Raw genomic sequence first — 20,295 nt, forward strand, 5'->3', positions numbered from 1 at the left:
ATACTAGCATGTATTACTAAATAAAATCTTATAGTGTAGCTTATTATTTATCTTATTAAATGTCATGTCATTTATTTTGTTTAAATATCATATTACAACCTAAAATATACACTGGCTGTAGTTTGTGTTTTGGAGATTAATATATTCAAATATAAAAAAGCTATAGCTTGATATATAAAAACATTAAGGAAATACATATGCATATATATTGTCAGACAAATTGAGGTTATAAATATTTGTCTAAGTGGGACTTAATTAAACTGAAGAGCTTCTGCATAGCAAAAGAAATAACCAATAGAGTAAACAGACAACCTCCAGAATGGGAGAAGATATATGTGAACTGCATCCAACAAAGGCCTAATATCTAGAATCCATAGAGAACTTAAAAAATCAAGAAGCAAGAAAAAAATAACCCCATTAAAAATGGTTGAAAAACATGAACAGATATTTCTCTAAAAAAGACATACAAGCAGACAAGAAACATGAAAAAATGCCTAGTATCACTAGTCATCAGAGAAATGCAAATCAAAACCACAATAAGACACCATCTCAAGCCAATGAGAATGGCTGTTACTAAAATGTCAAAAAACAACAGATGCTGGTGAGGCTGCAGAGAAAAGAGAATGCTTATGTATTGTTGGTGAGAATGAAAAATTAGTCCTGCCACTGTGGAAAGCAGTTTGGAGATTCTCAAAGTACTGAAAACCGAGCTATCATTCAATCCAGGAATCCCATTATTTGGTATATACCCAAATGAAAATAAAGCATTCTGCCAAAAAGACACATGTTCTTGTATACTTATGGCAGGACAATTCACAGTAGCACAGGTATGGAATCAATCCAAGTGCCTATCAATGGTAGAGTGGATAAGAAAAATGTGGTATATATATACACTATGGAATACTATGCAGCCACAAAGAAGAATTAAATCATGTCCTTTTGCAGCAACTTGTATGCAGGTGGAGACCATAATCCCAAGCCAATTAACACAGAAACAAAACCAAATACCACATAGTCTCACTCATAAGTGGGAGCTAAATTTTGAGCACACATGGACATAAACATGGGAACAACAGATACTGGGGTCTAGTCAAGAGGGTAGGGAGGAGGTGTGGATTGAAAAACTACCCTTCAGGCTCTATGCTCAGTACCTGGGTGATAGGATCCACATACCAGACCCCAGCATCATACAATATTCCCATGTAAAAAAGCCTGCACATGTAGTCCCTATATCTAAAATAAAGTTTAAAATCAAGTAAATAAATATTTGCCTATGCATATATAGGTATAACTGTATATTCATATGAAATGGATCTACATCTTTTAATATTTAATTTAAAAAAATCGACAGCATAAAATTTTCCTAGAAGATATATGGTAATTATTAATTCAAAATGTATCCATATGTGTCTATTTCTATTAACCTTTTGATTTGCACTGAAATGACTATGTATTTTAGTAATATGAGGCAAACAGTAATATTTCCCAACAAAAAATATGATACAAAAAAAGCTAAATTAAAACTTCTAAAAAGAAAATGTGGGAATTCAAAAACATATATTAATGTTCTCAAATGTAAGAACATATGAATGTTCTTACTTTAATAGAACATTTATCCTGAACTTTATGATCATGAAATTATCCAGGTATGCTGGTATATTCAATTTTATTTTTAATTTCTCACATATACATTTGCTGTAAGAATTTATGTTGCTGTCATCATTAGCTTTCTTTCTTCTTTTTTTCTTTAGAGACAGCATATTTCTGTTGCTCAGCCTGGAGTGCAGTGGTGCAATCATGGCTTACTGTAACCTCAAACTCCTGGGCTCAAGTGATACTCCCACGTCAGCCTCCCAAGTGACAAACCACTTCAGGTGCAAGCCACCATGCCCAGCTAATTTTGTTTTGGTTTGGTTTTTGGTAGAGATAGAGTTCCCCAGAAACCCTATGTTCCCCAGCATAGTCTCGAACTCCTGACCTCAAATGATTCTCCCATCTTGGCCTCCCAAAGGGCTGAGATTACAAGCATAAGCCATGAGCCACCACACCCAGCTTATTATTTATATTCTATAACCATGTTGTAGTATGCTCAATTAAATTTTTTTTTTGGAAAATAAGGCATATATATCTGATTCTCCATGACTTTTAGGATAGATTATTATGTTTGTTTGTTTTAGTTTCCATAATATGCGATCAGGCATATCAACTGAAACACAGAGACACTAGAAAAACCTGTCAGTCACGCAAAGTTGGGTTTATGGAAACTACGGCAGCAAAGGAAAACAGCACCTTGACAGTTCTGTTTCCCAAATGATGTAAATTAAGAAAGCATATTTATTGAATTTTGTAATATGAGAATGACTGATTAAGGGAGGCTTTTCAAGTAGGAGTTTAGGATTGAGTAAATATAATTTATGAATGGTAAGATGAGGGTCTCAATGAGAATGTTGATGACTAAATTGTCATGATAGGAGACCTGCTTGATCAGATGAGCAAATTTTGGCCTGCATAAATTTGTTTGCAAGAATTTCCAGAAGTGAATAGTAAAATTATTTGTTGATTTGGTGTGTCTTCTTCCGTGCAAGAATATCCCAGAAGGCACAGTTAAATTATCTTGACCCAGGTGGTCTCATTCTCAGTTTCAACAGTTGAGTTAGGTTGAAGCAGGTGTTCACAGTTCTTATAATTTTGTTCAGTGACATAGGTTAAAAGAAAATCTCCGGATATATTTTCCCTACAGAGATAAACTGAATTTCTCTTAGGTGTGTATAACAATTGAAATATATGTTCATGATGTAACAAAGGAGTAGTAAGTGGAAAAGCTGTCAGAAGGGCGCCAAAAGGTCTGGAAACCATGGTTTAAGTACAAAATCTAACAAAAAATATTAGCAAATTCTTACATTCTTATTTCAGAACCTCTTTGTGTTGACTGTGCTCTCTATATAATCTTCAAACCAAGGTATTTTTAAGATTCACTGTCTTCTCGTAGGCATGCTGAGATGGAATAAAGTGGGTAATGCACATGCCTGCTGGTGAAGATCTCTCAGGTCTGTTATATCTTTAATCTTTACCCTTTCACATTATATAATTACTATTATAGTTTCACTGGGTTTCTCTATTAATCACGTTATATGTCTATTTGCCATATCCAGTTACTATTCTTCATTCTTTATATAATTTGACCTATTTGTGGATAAAACATTGGTGAATATAATATCCTTCATTAAACTGTTTTAATATTCATTTCCATGAGACAATCTTTTGGTTTTAAAACAAGTGGATAAATAAAATGTTACATATATACAACATGGAATACTACTCAGCCATAAAAAGGAATGAAATAATAGCATTAGCAGCAACCTGGATGAAATTTGAGGCCATTATTCTAAATGAAGTAACTCAGGAAAAAAAAAATACTGTAAGTTCTCACTTATATATAGGAGCTAAGCTATGAGGATGCAAATGCATAAGAATGATAGAATAGACTTTGGGGACTTGGAGGGCAGGGTGAGAGGGGGAAGGAAAGAAGACTATACACTGGGTACAGTGTACACTGCTTGTGTGACAGGTGCACCAAAATCTTAAAACTCACCACTAGAGAACTTTGTCCACATGTTGGAAGTAGCAATTTATTTCAGGTCAATGATTGTTTATCAGATATCAATTTTATCTACATCTCAACAGCATTTGAAAGCTAACTAGCATTTTTTATGAATAATTCTTCAATAAATATATTGGAAAAGTTTTTGGAGATATGCATCAATTTGAAAAAAATTGTGGATGAAACTCATATCCTAGAAATGTTAAAAAAAAGAAAAAGATATGTTACGAATGCGTAGAATATATGTAGATTCTAGTCTATTTTATCATTCACTACTATTGAATATACACAAGTCTATTACAAAACCTTAACAACTATCAAAACTTATGCACATGAATACTTACAGACTGTACATGGCACCATTCCCAGTCTAGAGAAATGTCAACAAGTGTAGAGATGCAATATTAAATTAAAACTGCATAAAATTAACTATATTACATACTGAACTACTTCAAAAATTTTGTAGCCACCTCCTATTGCAAGTGGATGCTGATTATCTCTATGTGAGCAGTCCATCTCTCCAGTACAGTAAAAAGTGATCTTTTATGGTTCTTACATATTTTTATCATGTTTAGTGCAATATGGTAATCCTTGAATAATGCTATAAGACCATAAAAATTGCCACTACCAATGCTGGAAATGCTCTCAAGAAAATGCAGAGACAAATCATGGTATTCCAAGAAAGTTGAACTGCTTGATGTGTAACATAGCTTTAGGTCTACAGCTGCAGTTATGCAAATTTTAAGATAAATGAATCCTGAGGAAGGACCACTGTGAACAAAGAAAAAGGAAATTCATGAAGCCAAAGCTGCATCCACACAAGAAGGCACAAAACCTTGCGCTTCTAGTGAAATATCTTTTTATCTTGTATTAAAAATGCAACTTTTATGTAGGTGCAGGATTGCTATAAGTAAAGCATACCTATAGATTCTAATATGATTTGAGAAAAAGCAAAAAGAAGGTGAAAGATCTAATGGTGGAAAATGTAATGGGTGTAAAAGATAGTTAATAATTTTAAAAATAGATTTGGATTAAAAATATTTCAAGATAGCAGAAGAATCAGCTTCTGCCAAGCAAGAGACAGCAGACAAGTTCCCAGATGTTGATAAGAAAATCATTGAGGAAATAGGGTGTCTGCTTGAAGAAATTTTTAATGTAGCTTAAAGTGCCCTATCTTGGAGTAAAAAATGTCACAAATGGCATTTATCAGTCTAGAAGAGAAGCAATCACCAGGCTTTAAAGAAGGAAAAGACAGGCTAACTCGACTGTTTATGCAAATGCAGATGGGTTTATGATCAGGACTTCCCTTATGTATAAGCTTCTAACCCCTAAGTCTTGAAGGGAAAAGATAAACACTAGATTAGAATCACTAATCCCACCAGTTAGAACTTGAGTTCCCTAAAGTTGCCAGTCTTTTGGTTGTACAACAAGAAGGCCTGGACAACGAAAACCTTTTTTTCTGAATTGGTTCTATCAGTGCCTTATCCCTGAAGTCAAGTAGTGCCTTGCCAGTAAGAGGCTGCCTTTTAAAATTATTTTAATATTGCCCAATGCTCCTAGACCCCCAGCACTCCGTGAGTTCAACATTAAAGGTGTTGATGCAATTTACTTGTCCTCAAACACAACATCTCCAATTCAGCCTCTAGATCAGGAGGAATGAGGACCTTTAAGGCTCATTACACACAGTACTCTTACAGAAAGTATTATCAACACTATAGAAGAGAACGTCAATAGAGAACAGTGTGAAAGTCTAGAAAAATTATACCATTGAAGGTGCTACGATTATTATAGAAAAAAGCTTTGAAACACATCAAGACCAAAACAATAAATAATTTCTATTGGAGAAAACCGTGTCCTGATGTTGTACATGGCATTGCAGGATTTGTGACAGAGCCAATCAAGTATATTATACAAGAGTCTGTGGAGTAGATGGATCAAGATGGTGGAATAGAAGGCTTCACCAATAGTTCTCCCTGCAAGGGCAACAATGTAACAAAAATCTATACACGATAAAGTACCTTCATAAGAACCAAGAATCAGGTGAGCACTCACAGTATGTATATGACTGAAAGAGGCATAGAAGAGGTAGAAAAAACAGTGTTGAATCCCTGATCCCACCTTTTACCCACTGGCAGTAGCTGCATGGTGCAGAGAGCATCTCTAGGTGCTGGGGCAGGGAGACTGCAGCAGTTGTGAGGCATTGAACTCAGTGCTGTCCTGTTATAACAGAAAGCAAAATCAACTCAAACTCAACTAATGCCTACCCACAGAGGGAGCATTTAAACCAGCCTTAGCCATGGGAGAATCACTAATCCCACCAGTCAGAACTTGAGTTTCCACAAGCCTCGCTACTGTGGGCTACGGTGCCCTGGGGCTCTAAATAAACTTGTAAGGCAGTCTAGGCCACAAGGACTGTAACCCCTAGATAAATCTTACTACTGAACTCAGCCCAGAGCCAGGAGACTGTGGGGACACACAATCTACTGAGACACCAACTGGGATGCCTAAGGGAGTGCAGGCATCACCCTCTGCTAACCCAAGGACGCACAGCTTGCAGCTCAACAAGAGATCCCTAATTCTACTTGAGAAGAGGAGAGGAAAGAGTAGGGAGAACTTTGTCTTGCATCCAGGATAAGAGCTCAATCACAGCAGGATAGGACACTTGTCAGAGCCACAAGACCCCTTTTCCAGGCCCTAGCTCCCTGGTCCAGAAGGGAACGTGCTTCCTTAAAGGGAAGGGCCCAGTGTTGAAAGCATTAGCCAACTGCTAAATGAAGAGCCCTTAAGCCCTGAATAACCAGCAGCAATACCCAGTTGAAGACTTTGGGTGAGACTCTGAGATTTGCTGGCTTCAGGTGAGACTCAGCACATTCCTGGCTGTAGTGGCTATGAGTTGAGACTCTTTCTTCCTGAGAAAAGCAAAGGAAAATGTAAAGGGGACTTTGGTTTGCACAGAGTACCAGCTCAGCCATACAGAATTAGAGTGTCAAGCAGGCTCTTGGGGGTGCCCTGATTCCAGGACTTGGTTCTTGGACACCATTTCTGAACCTGCCCTTGCTCAGAGGGGAGCCCACCGCACTGAAAGGTGAGTTCCAGGTCAGGGAGTATTCATCACAAGATGACTAAAGAGCCCTTGGGCCTTCAGGGAACATCAACAGTCATCTGTAAGTACTTCCCTAGGGCCGTAGTGGAAGTGGTCTCAGGGAGAGGCTCTTCTGCCTTTGGAAAGGGGAGGGAAGGGTGAAAAGGACTGCATATTGTGGCTTGAGTGTCAGTTCAGCTGCAATACAACAAAATGCCAAGTAGACTTCTAAGGTTTTGATGTTAGTCTCTGGCTCCTGTGGCACCTCTGGACCTGCTGGGGTCCTGGGGAAACTCACTGTCCTGAAGAGAAGTACAAAGGCCTGACTGGCTTTGCCACGTGATGACTGTAGAGCCCCAGAGCCTTGAGTGAACATAGGCAGTACCAAGGAGTGGTTACGGCAAGCTTTGGGCAAGATCCAGTGCTGTGCTGGCTTCAGGTCTGAACAAGTGCTATCATAGTAGTGGTGGCTACAGGGCCACTTGTGTCACTCCCCCTCCAGCTTCAGGTAGATCAGAACAGAGGGAGAGACATCATTTGTTTGGGAGAAAGAAAGGGAAGAGAACAAGAGTCTCTGCCTGGTAATCCAGAAGACTTTCTCAGATCTTGTCCAAGAACATTAAGGCAGTACCTCTATGGGTCTGCAAGAACCAAAGCAATCCTGCACTTGGGGTATCCCCTAAACCAGGTATAGCTTAAATCACAACACCCAAGTCCTTTTGAATATTTGGAAAACCTTCCAAGAAGGACGGGTACAAAAAAAGCTCAGACTGCAAAGACTACCATAAATACATAACTCTTCAAGGCCCAGACACAGATGAAAATCTGTAAGTATCAAGATAATCTAGGAAAACATGACCTCAAATAAGGACCTCAAATAAGGAATTCATGATCTAAATAAGGCACTTGAAGCCAGTCCTGAAGAAACAGAGATATATGACCTTTCAGACAGAGAATTCAGAGAATTCAAAACAGCTGTTTTGTGGAAACTCAAAAAAAAATTCAAGAGAACATAGAGAAGGAGTTTAGAATTCTATCAAATACATTTAACAAATAAATGAATATAATTAAAAAGAATCAAGCAGAAATTATGGAACTTAAAATGAAATTGGGATACTGTAAAATTGGGATACTGTAAAAGTATTTTACTAGCAGAATTGACTAAGCAGAAGAAAAAATAGTGAGCTGGAAGACAGGCTATTTGAAAATACACAGTCAGAGGAGAGAAAATAAAAAAAAAAAAAACCATAAAAAGCAGTGAGGCATGCCTACAGGATCGAGAAAATAGCCGCAAAGGGACAAATCTAGGAGTTATTGGCCCTAAAGAGAAGGCAGAGAAATAGACAGTGGTAGAAAGTTTATTCAAAGGGATAATAACAGAGAACATTCCAAGCCTAGAGAAAGACATCAATATCCAAGTACAAGAAGGTTATAGAACAATAAGCAAATTTAACTCAAAGAAGACTACCTCAAGGCATTTAATATTCAAACTCCCAAAGATCAATGACAAAGAAAGGATCCTAAAAACAAGAGAAAAGAAAAAAATAACATACAATGGAGCTTGAATACATCTGGCAGTAGACTTTCCAGTGGGTACCATACAGGCTAGAGGAGAATGGCATGACATGTTTAAAGCGCTGAAGAAAAAAATTACTTTGGAATAATGTATTTGGGAAAAATATGTTTCAATCATGAAGGGGAAATAAAGACTTTCCCAGACAAACAAAAGTTGAGGGATTTTATCAACACCAGATGAGTCCTACAAGAAATGCTAAAGGGAGTACTTTACACAGAAAGAAAAGAGTGTTAATGAGCAAAAAGTTATCACTTGAAGGTACAAAACTCACCGATAATAGTAAATACACACAAAAAAACACAGAATATTATAACACTGTACTGTAGTACGAAAACTACTCTTACCATAAGTAGAAAGGCTAAATAATGAATCAATCAAAAATAATATATACAACAACTTTCTAAGACATAGAGGGTACAATAAGCTATAAATATAAACAACAAGGAGTTAAAAATTTGGGAAGTAAACTTAAGAAGTAGAGTTTTTATTAGTTTTCTATTTGCTTGTTTGTTTATACACACAATGTTAAGTTGTTATCGGCTTAAAATAATGGGTTATAAGACAGTATTTGCAAGCCTATGGTAACCTCAAACCAAAAAACATACAATGGATACATAAAAAAAAAGCAAGAAACTATATCATATTTTTGGAGAAAATTATATATACTAAAATTATATATAACTTTTGAGGAGTTCAAAAGTTATATATGAATTTTCAACTATGTGAAGGGACATGCTCCTAACCTCTATGTTGTTCAAAGGCCAACTGTATGGTTAATTCCCCCAGATCATCCAGAATAGAAGTTATGCCCAAGTTCCAACAACTTTTGCTAAATGACTAGCACCAATAGTGATACATAGTAGATGCTTCAAAAATATGTTTATCTACCCTCCATTTCTTATTCCTTTGCCAATATCTAGCAAAATTAAAAGTATTTTAAAATGTTATAAGATTATAAAGAACATTATTTATTTGAAAAAACCAAATTAATTAAAGAATATTACAAATGCCTGAGCTGGAAAAAGACCAAAGGAATAACATAGGTTTGTTTGTTCGTTTGTATTTTTGAAAAAGTGAATACATTCTAGTTGGGGTAAAACCCTTACTTCAATTTGACAAAATAAAACCTGTGTACAGTATAAAAAAGTAGGATCTTTCTGATTGCATTCATATCTTTTCTGTGGTAGAATTTTATCCCAGAAATAGTGGGAAATCACAAAGACACTCCACTACCAATTATTTTCAACAGAATTACAGCAGTAATAAATAGAAGCTGGCAGAGAGGGTTTCTTTCCTCTTAATAGTGATTAGATAAGCAGATTATCTAAATAATTCCATTATAAATAAATCTGAATCATATCAAGATAAGAAAATTCAAAACAATAATATAAACTCTCTCTTCATATATTAGTGAGTTTTGTCCTTTCTTGCATAAATGTAAGACAAAGTCACAGTCGACTTGAAATGGTAATTTTCTTTTTCATCTCTCAATGTCATACGTTGTAAGCATTCCTAAATGACATTTAAACCTGACTCAGTCATCTAAACAATAAAACCTATTTATGTTCTGCTCAGTTAGTAACTATATCACTTTTGTAGAAAGAAAACAAAAAACAATTTCACAATGTATTAGGACTTTTAAAATAACCAGTATTTACACATCGGTATTTATCTTCTTATTGCAATATCATTTTGTTTATTATCATTCCAAAACCTTCATGCTTACAAAAATGTATGGAGAATGCAAGAAAATTATTGATTTACACTAACACTTATTTTCAGGTTGGTACTAGAATATTAAATTTTCTTTTTTAATTACAGAAGATAAAGTAAATTTACCTTTTTCCTTAGATGTATCTTTGCAATAAAACCAAGCAATTGGTTGATGAAATTTAATATGACTATTTTTTGAGGCAACCTAATTTTAAGTTTTACAAATGATTGATCAGTAACTTTTACATAACCAGCAGCTGGGGTTCACCCCTCAGTAAGCCTTCAGGAATGATATGAGATTGACTTCCAAAAGCAACTCTATAAGACCATTCCTTCTGCACAATTATGAGTAATATGTTACTAGGAAGAGTATGGCAATTTTATCTCTCCCATTTAGACCTCAAATTTGATGTTATACTTTTCATTTACCTTTTCAATCTTTTCACATGTTTATCTAAGAAATATAGCTTAACCCACATAGACATTTATTTTTATTTCTTTTCCTTCTGCTGCATACATGCATGAGAATGTTTTGGAGACTGGAGGCTCATGCCTGTAGTCTCTGCTATGTGGGAGACTGAGATAGGAGGATTGATTGAGCCCAGGGTAACGGAGAGAGGTTGAAACAGTTTGCAGGGCTAAGAAGAAGACAGGAAGATGTGGGAAAGTTTAGAACATCCTAGGGACTTGTAAATTGGTTTTGACAAAAATGCTGATAGTAATATGGATAATGAAGTCCAGACTGAGGTGCTCTCAGATGGAGATGAGGAACTTCTTGGGAACTGGAAACTGGAGCAAAGGTAACTCTTACTATGCTTTAGCATAGAAACTGATGACATTTTTCTCCTGCCCTAGAGATCTCCTGCATTTTGAGCTTGAGAGAGATTACTTAGGGTATCTGACAAAAGAAAGTTTTAAGCAATAAATTTGTCAAGATGTGACCTTGGTGCTCTTAAAGGGTTTCAGTTTTATGCATTCACAAAGAGATATTTTGGATTTGGAACTTTTTAAAAGTATACTTTAAGTTCTGGGATACATGTGCAGAACATGCAGGTTTGTTACATAGGTATACACGTGGCATGGTGGTTTGCTGCACCCATCAACCCATCATCTACATTAGGTATTTCTCCTAATGCTATCCTTCCCCTAGCCCCCCATCCCTCAACAGGCCCTGGTGTGTGATGTTCCCCTCCCTGTATCTATGTGTTCTCACTGTTCAACTCCCACTTGTGTGAGAAGATGCAGTGTTTGGTTTTCTGTTCCTGTGTTAGTTTGCTGAGAATGAAAGTTTCCAGCTTCATCTGTGTCCCTGCAAAAGACATCATAACTCATCCTTCTTTTATGGTTGCATAGTATTCCATAGTGTATATGCGCCACATTTTCTTTATCCAGTCTATTACTGATGGGCATTTGGGTTGGTTCCAAGTCTTTGCTATTGTGAATAGTGCTGCAGTAAACATATGTGAGCATAGGTCTTTAGAGTAGAATGATTTATAATCCTTTGGGTATATACCCAGTAATAAGATTGCTGGGTCAAATGGTATTTCTGGTTCTAGATCCTTGAGGAATTTCCACACTGTCTTCCACAATGGTTGGACTAATTTACACTCGCACCAACAGTGTAGAAATATTCCTATTTCTCCACGTCCTCTCCAGCATCTGTTGTCTCCTGACTTTTTAATGATTGTCATTCCAACTGGCATGAGATGGTATCTCATTGTGGTTTTGATTTACATTTCTCTAATGACCAGTGATGATGAGCTTTTTTCATATGTTTGTTGGGCACATAAATATCTTCTTTTGAGAAGTGTCTGTTCATATCCTTTGCCCACTTTTTGATGGTTTTTTTTTTCTTCTAAATTTGTTTAAGTTCCTTGTTGATTCTGGATATTAGCCCTTTGTCAGATTGATAGATTGCAAAAATTTTTCCTCATTCTGTAAGTTGCCTGTTCACTCTGATGATAGTTCCATTTGGTGTGCAGAAGCTCTTTTTTGTTGCCGTTGCTTTTGGTGTTTTAGTCATGAAGTCTTTACCCATGCCTATGCCCTGAATAGTATTGCCTAGGTTTTCTTATAGAGTTTTTATGGTTTTAGGTTTAAGTCTTTAATCCAACTTGATTTAATTTTTATTAGGTGTAAGGAAGGGGTCCAGTTTCAGTTTTCTGCATATGGCTAGCCAGTTTTCCCAACACTATTTATTAAATAGAAAATCCTTTTCTCATTGCTTGTTTTTATCATGTTTGTCAAAGATCAGATGGTTGTAGATGTGTGGCATTATTTCTGAGGCCTCTGTTCTGTTTCACTGGTCTATATATCTGTTTTGGTACCAGCGCAATCCTGTTTTGGTTACTGTAGACTTATAGTATAGTTTGAAGTCAGGTAGTGTGATGCCTCCAGCTTTGTTCTTTTTGCTTAGGATTGTCTTGGCTATACAGGCTCCTTTTTGGTTCCATATGAAATTTAAAGTAGTTTTTTCTAATTTTGTGAAGAAAGACAGTGGTAGCTTGATGGGGATAGCATTGAATCCATAAATTACTTTGGGCAGTATGGCCATTTTCACGATATTGATTCTTTCTATTCAGGAGCTTGGAATGTTTTTCCATTTGTTTGTGTCCTCTCTGGTTTCCTTGAGCAGTGGTTTGTAGATATCCTTGAAGAGGTCCTTCACATTCCTTGTAAGTTGTATTCCTAGGTATTTTATTCTCTTTGTAGCAATTGTGAGTGGGAGTTCACTCATAATTTGGCTCTCTGTTTGTCTATTATTGGTGTATAAGAATGCTTGTGATTTTCTCACATTGATTTTGCATCCTGAGACTTTGCTGAAGTTGCTTATCAGCTTAAGGAGATTTGGGGCTGAGATGATGGGGTTTTCTAAATATACAATCATGTCATTTGAAAACAGAGACAATTTGACTTCCTTTTTTCCTATTTGAATATGCTTTATTTCTTTCTCTTTCCTGATTGCCCTGGCCAGAACTTACAATACTAAGTTGAATAGGTGTGGTGAGAGAGGACATACTTGTCTTGTGAGGTTTTCAAAGGAATGCTTCCAGCTGAGATTTTGGCTGTGGGTGTATCATAAATAGCTCTTACTATTTTGAGATACGTTCCATCAATACGTAGTTTATTGAGAATTTTTAGCATGAGGGTTGTTAAATTTTGTTGAAGGCCTTTTCTGCATCCATTGGGATAATCATGTGGTTTTGGCATTGGTTCTGTTTATGTGATGGAAAGGGAATATCATCACTGATCTCACAGAAATACAAACTGCCATCAGAAAATACTATAAACATCTCTACACAAATAAACTAGAAAATCTAGAAGAAATGGACAAATTCCTGGACACATACACCCTCCCAAGACTAAACCAGGAAGAAGCTGAATCTCTGAAGAGACCAATAACAAGTTCTGAAATTGAGGATGTAATTAATAGCCTACCAACCAAGAAAAGCCCAGGACAAGACATTTACAGCGGAATTCTACCACAGGTACAAAGAGGATCTGGTACCCTTCCTTCTGAAACTATTCCAAGCAGCAGAAATAGAGGAACTTCTCCCTAACTCATTTTGTGAGGCCAGCATCATTATGATACCAAAACCTAGTAAGAGACATAATAAAAAAAGAAAATTTCATTCCAATATCTCTGATGAACATCACTGCTAAAATCTTCAATAAAATACTGGCAAACCAAATCTGGCAGCACATCAAAAAGCCTATCCACCACGATCAAGTCAACTTCAACCCTGGAATGCAAGGCTGGTTCAACATATGCAAATTAAACTTATTTTTGAAAGGGAAGCAGAGCATAAAAGTTTGGAAAATTTGCAGCCTATTGATGTGATAGAAAAGAAAAACCAATTTTCTGGAGAGAAATTCAAGCAGGGTGCAGAAATTTGCATAAGTAATGAGTCAATTGTTAATCACCAAGACAATAGGGAAAATGTCTCCAGGGCATGTCAGAGGTCTTCATGGCAGCCCCTCCCACCACAGGCCTGGAGGCATAAAAGGAAAAAAAAAAATCATTACCTGGACTCATCCCAGGGCCTTGCTGCTTTGTGCAATCTCGGGACTTGGTGATCTGCATGTCAGCTGTGGACAAAAAGGGACAAACTTAAACTCAAACTGTTGTTTCAGCATGTGGAAGCCCTAAGCCTTTGCAGCTTGCATGTGGTAATGGGCCTGCAGGTGCACAGAAGTCAAGAATTGAGGTTTGGGAACTTTAGTTTTGATTTCAGGGGATGTAGGGAAATACCTGGATGTTGAGGCAGAAGTTTGCTGAAGGAGTGGAGCCCTCATGGAGAACTTCTGCTAGGGCAGTGTGAAAGGGAAATGTGGGGTTGGAGCCCCCACTGAGAGTTCCCACTGGGGCACTAGTAGAGCTGTGAGAAGAGGGCCACCATCCTCCAGGCCCCAGAAATGTAGATCCACCAACAGCTTGCACTGTGCACCTGGAAAAGCCAGAGACACTCAACACCAGCCTGTGATAGTTTATGTGAGGGGGGCTGTACCCTTAAAAATCACAGAGGCAGAGCTGCCCAAGGCTGTAGGATCCCACCTCTTGTATCAGTGTGACCTGGATATGAGACATGTAGTCAAAGGAGATCATTTCAAAACATTAAGATTTGGCCAAGCACAGTGGCTCATGCCTGTAATCACAGCACTTTGGAAGGCTGAGGTGGGCAGGTCACTTGAGGTCAGGAGTTTGAGACCAGCCTGGCCAACATGGTGGAACCATGTCTCTACTATAAATACAAAAATTCACCAGTCATGGTTGTAGGCATCTATAATCTCAGCTACATAGGAGCCTAAGGCAGAATAATCACTTGAACCTGGGAGGCATAAGTTGCAGTGAGCCAAGATCATGCCATTACACTTCAGCCTTGGTGACAGAGCAAGACTCTTACCTCACCCCCAAAAAAGCTTTAAGATTTGACTGACTTGCTTAATTTTGGACTTCCACAGGGCCTGTAGGCCTTGCAGTTTGGCCAATTTCTCCCATTTGGAATGGGTGTACTTAATCAATTCCTGTACCCTCATTGTATCCAGGAAAGAACTATCTTGTTTTTGATTTCACAGGCTCATAGACAGAAGGGATCTGCCTTATCTCAGATGAGACTTTGGACTTGGACATTTGGGTTAATGTTGGAATAAGTTAAGACTTTGGGGAACCATTGAAAAGGCATGATTGTGTTTTGAAATGTGAGGGCATGAGATTTGTGAGGGACTGGGGTGGAATGATATGGTTTGGCTCTGTGTCCCCACTCAAATTTCACCTTGAATTGTAATTCCTGTATCCCCATAATCCCCATGTCAAGGAAGAGACCATGTGGAGGTAATTGAATCATAGGTATGGATTCCTCCATGCCATTTTTGTGATGGTGAGTGAGCTTTCACAAGATCTGATGATTTATAAGTGTTTGACAGTTACTCCTGCAACTATCTCCTTCCTGCTGCCTTGTGAAGAAAGTCCCATGCTTCTCCTTTGCTTTCTTCCAAGATCGTATGTTTCTTGAGGCCTCCCCAGCTCTGCTGAACTAAGTCAATTAAACCTCTTTCCTTTATAAATTACCCCAGTCTTGGGCAGTTCTTTACAGCAGTGTGATAAAGGGCTAACACATCTTGTAATTAAATATGTATTTGATGTTAAATGTTATATTAAACAAACAAAGAGTAGTAGTTTAACAGAGATAAAACACTAAATTGCTGCAGAATAACAAAGATGTTCAAAAGAGGAGATAAGGATGCATCTACTAAACTTTTGCTTCAACATCAGTATTTTATTATATATTATTTATTATAGACATTGAGATATTGAATGGACACACTGAAGATATTGAGGCTCTTAGGGCTTTCAGCTTTGAGAAAGAAAATGGCAGAAATTGTAGGCATTTTGTCATAGGTAAACAAAAAGAATTGCCATCCAGAAATCTTTAGTACATTAAGATTGGTTCTAGTAACTGAACACAGATGAACTAAGGGAATGTAAAGTATTTTCGTTGTCTAACATAGTGTCTTAGTACTACTAAAATACAAAGAATTATATCATAATCATTTAATTAGAAAATGTCAAGCTGTTTTTTCTATGTGGTGTCTGTATTGTAGCAAAGAAACAGAGTTCATTTAACACAGAAAACTACTTATCTAGAAAACACCTTTTTTTGTTGTTACGTTGTTTCTCTATTCCAATTTTCAATAACTCTCAGAAGGAATTGCTTTTTATTTGATGTAGCTTTAATACATTTTCTTTATTCCATCTCAGGCCGAGACAACTTTTCTGCTATATTCTAATCTACAGAGGTTGTGAAACATAACATAAACTATGACAATGGTGCACTACATTATTGACAAAATGCTGAATAGACCAGATGGACAAAATGTAACAAATATGTTAGATGTCTTTGAGGAATATTATTTTAAAACAAAGAATTGAATACAATACATTTGTTAAAAACTTTCTTAAAAGAATTAAACTATCAGAAAGGGCTGAAGAGGCTAACACAAACATAGCACCAGCAGAAGCAGCTACCACAGTTAGAACTCCAGGAAAAATGGAGGGAGGAATAGAATCTTGGAGGGAAGGTGCTGGAATCTGGACTCCAATCTCTAAAGATAATATTGTGCCAATATCTCAGCAGCTTTTAGAATGTGATTGAGCTATAGGTTGCTAGGATGCAAAAATCTCTGAGGGAGCATGGTAAAGTCAATTTTGGGAGTGCTAATAGAAGATAAAGATTAGAATGAATACAATTGTCGTATGAAATATCCAACAATCAACATGATTTTGCAATAACATCAGAGAATATAATCAGTTCCCTTCCTTCCTACGTATACTGTAACTTCCCTCTACTGATCATTATTTATTAAAGCTAATAGTGAGTCTACTGACACAAAAGAAATATAGTTTGCAGTTTCAGGAGCAATGTCTCTAAGCAGAATACAAACAGTAGGTTTGAGAATAAGAGACAAAAACATAATGATTGGTACCTAACTAAAACATGGATTACTGACTTTTGACTTCTAGTAATGGTGAAGTAAGATCCTAAAGGGCGATTAGCCTCATAAAGCAAGCATACAATCTGGACAATATGTAAAAATCAATTACCTAAAGTAACAGGAGAGTGATCAGGAGGTGGGGAGATTGAGACCATCCTGGCCAACATGGTGAAACCCCGTCTCTACTAAAAATACAAAAATTAGCTGGGCGTGGCAGCACATGCCTGTAATCCCAGCTACTCGGGAGGCTGAGGCTGAGGCAGGAGAATCACTTGAACCCGGAAGGCAGAGGTTGCAGTGAGCTGAGATCCTGCCACTGCACCCCAGCTTGGTGACAGAGCTAGGCTCCATCAAAAAAAAAAAAAAAAAAAAAACAAGAAAAACAAACGAACAACAAAAAAACAAAACAAAAATTAAAAAGGGGAGAAAAATGAATAATACTTTCTCTAATTTTTTGCCTGATTATATATGTAACATATTTTTTAAAAGCCATAAAGCTGTAGGATACAAGGTAAGTATTAAAAATTAACTTACAGACTTACGATTTTGGTAAAATGGAATAGATCTACTTTTTCTATTTTTCATGCTAAATACAACTAAAACCTATGGACAGAGAACATAAACATAAGAAGGCCGGGTGCGGTGGTTCATGCCTGTAATCCCAGCACTTTAGGAGGCCGAGGTGGGTGGATCACGAGGTCAGGAGTTCAAGACCATCCTGGCCAACATGGTGAAACCCCATCTCTACTAAAAATACAAAAATTAGCTGGGCGTGGTGGCACATGCCTGTAATCCCAGCTACTCGGGAGGCTGAGGCAGGAGAATTGCTTGAACCTGGACCCGGGAGGCGGAGGTTGCAGTGAGCTGAGATCACGCCACTGCACTCTAGCCTGGGCTACAAAGCGAGATTCCGTCAAAAAAAAAAAAAAAAAAAAAAAAAAAAAAAAAACATAAACACAAGAAAACCCTAAAAGGAGGAACCAGCTATGGACTTTGAGACCTCAATGAATGAGGAGGGTGAATTCACTGGGTTTTCTGTTTGCCTCCTATATTCCAGACTTGTAACTGAGGATGCAGACAAGAAAATCTCCCTAACTATCCGCTCTCACTAGCAAAAAGAGAGGAAAAGGAGCAGCTAACGAGGCAGAAACCTTTTAAATAACGGCCATTCTCTTTCAGCTAATCACAGGGGTGGAGGTGGGATGTGCTTCCATCCTCACCCAATCCAGAAAAAGGCTATGTGGGGAGACTAGACTTCCAAACAAGCAAGGCTGTATCAAGCTTTCCTAATACTTCTGAGAGCTGTATCAGAAAAGGCCAAGTAGGGAGTTGAGACTTTTATCCCCAGTGGCCACTGATGCAACTGTCTCTTAATTTGGTATCAGTGTAACCATGCATGAATTCTGGACTTCCATATACACCCAGGAGCAATGTGTCATTCCTCCCCATCCACGTAGTGCTGGCAAAAGAGAATTAGGTATTTTACCATGCCCCAGTGGTAATAGGGCTAGCCCATCATGGTGTCATTCAAGAGATGTGGCCAGCCAGAATTCTCACTTCCACCAAGACATAATGAGTAGCTTCCCCCTCTGTTATCAGTGGAAGTCAAATGGGGACCCTGGACTTCTAACTGCATATGGCAATAATGAGGCAGAGCCCTTTTTTTTCCTGCCAGGCCAAAGTTACAAAAAAATTCCAGTTAAAACATAAGGTTCAAATAAGATCCAGGATTTCACAACACAATAGCAAATATGCACATATTTCAATTGGAAATCATCTAACGTACCAAAACCTAGGAATCTCTGAAACTGAATATAAGAAAAAAAAACAATAGATTCTACTTCAAGGTGTTGGAGATATTGTAATTACCTGAGAAAGATTTTAAACCAGCCATGTAAAAATTTTTCAATGAGCAGTTATGAAAATACTTGAAACATAAATAATTAAAAGCCTAATAAAGAAATATAAAGTCTCAGCAAAGACATAAAAGATAAAGAGAAGAGTGAATAAACATTTTAAAATAAAAACTACTGAATGGAAATAAATGTGAAAATGAAAATATAGCACATCATAATATGTAAGATACAGCCAAAGCACTGCCGAGAAGTTTATTCTTAACTTTATGTATAAGAAAAATAAATAAAGTCAGTCAGTAATATAAGCTTCATGAATCGAGCAAAAGAAGAGTAAAACCAACCCAAATAAGCAGAAGAAAAGAAATAAGATCAGAAATAAATAAAATGTAAAACAGCAACAACAGAGAAAATCAATGAAACGAAGAGTGGATTTATTGAAAAGATTAAAAGTGTTATCAATAAAAATGTAAAATCTTTTTATATATATATATTTTATTATACTTTAAGTTTTAGGGTACATGTGCACAATGTGCAGGTTTGTTACATATGTATACATGTGCCATGTTGGTGTGCTGCACCCATTAACTCGTCATTTACATTAGGTATATCTCCTAATGCTATCCCTCCTCCTTCTCCAATCTTTAACAGGAATAACAAACAAAAAAAAAGAGACAAGACACCAATCACCAGTTACAAGAATGAAACAGAAAGTATCACTATAGACCCTACAGACATTAAAATGCTAATTAGGGAGAACTACCATAAATCTGACAACTGAGATGAAATACATTAATTCAATAAGAAACACAGTCACAACTTACCCAATATTAAAGAGGTTACTTTAATAGCTCTGTAATTACTAAGAACATTTAATTTCTTAAAAAGGAAAATACACTGAAGACATCTCCAGGCTGAAATTATTTCTTCAGAAAATTCTACCTAATATTTAAAGATTTAATAACAATTCTAAACAGTATTTTCCCAAAAAAGAAAGATGAAATAATACTCTCAAATTTATTTTATATAGTATTATCCTGACATGCAAACCAGACAAAAGCAATACAAAAATAGAAAAAAGAAAAGAAAAACAACAGACAAATGTTCATCATGAATATAGATTTTTAAAAATCTTTAAAAATTATTAGCATATAGAATTCAGCAACATATAAAAAGGATTATACACCATAAATGTCTTTGCCCATTTTATGCTGCTATAACATAATACTTGAGAATAAGTAATTTATAATAAACAGAAATTTATTTGGCTCATGGTTCTAAAGTTTGGGAAGTCCAAGATCTAGGAGTACGTTCTGTGAGTGACTTCTTGCTGTGTCTTCCCATGATAAAACGTGTAAGGGCAAAAAAGCATGGAGGCAAGTGGGTGTCAAATTCACTTTTACAACAAAGTCACTCTCACAATAACATTAACTCATTCATGAGTGCAGAGCCCTCATGAGCTAATCATCTTTTAAAG

The sequence above is a fragment of the Homo sapiens genome, chromosome 6 (genome assembly GCF_000001405.40).
Source record: "Homo sapiens chromosome 6, GRCh38.p14 Primary Assembly".
In the NCBI taxonomy this organism is placed as follows: Eukaryota; Metazoa; Chordata; class Mammalia; order Primates; family Hominidae; genus Homo; species Homo sapiens.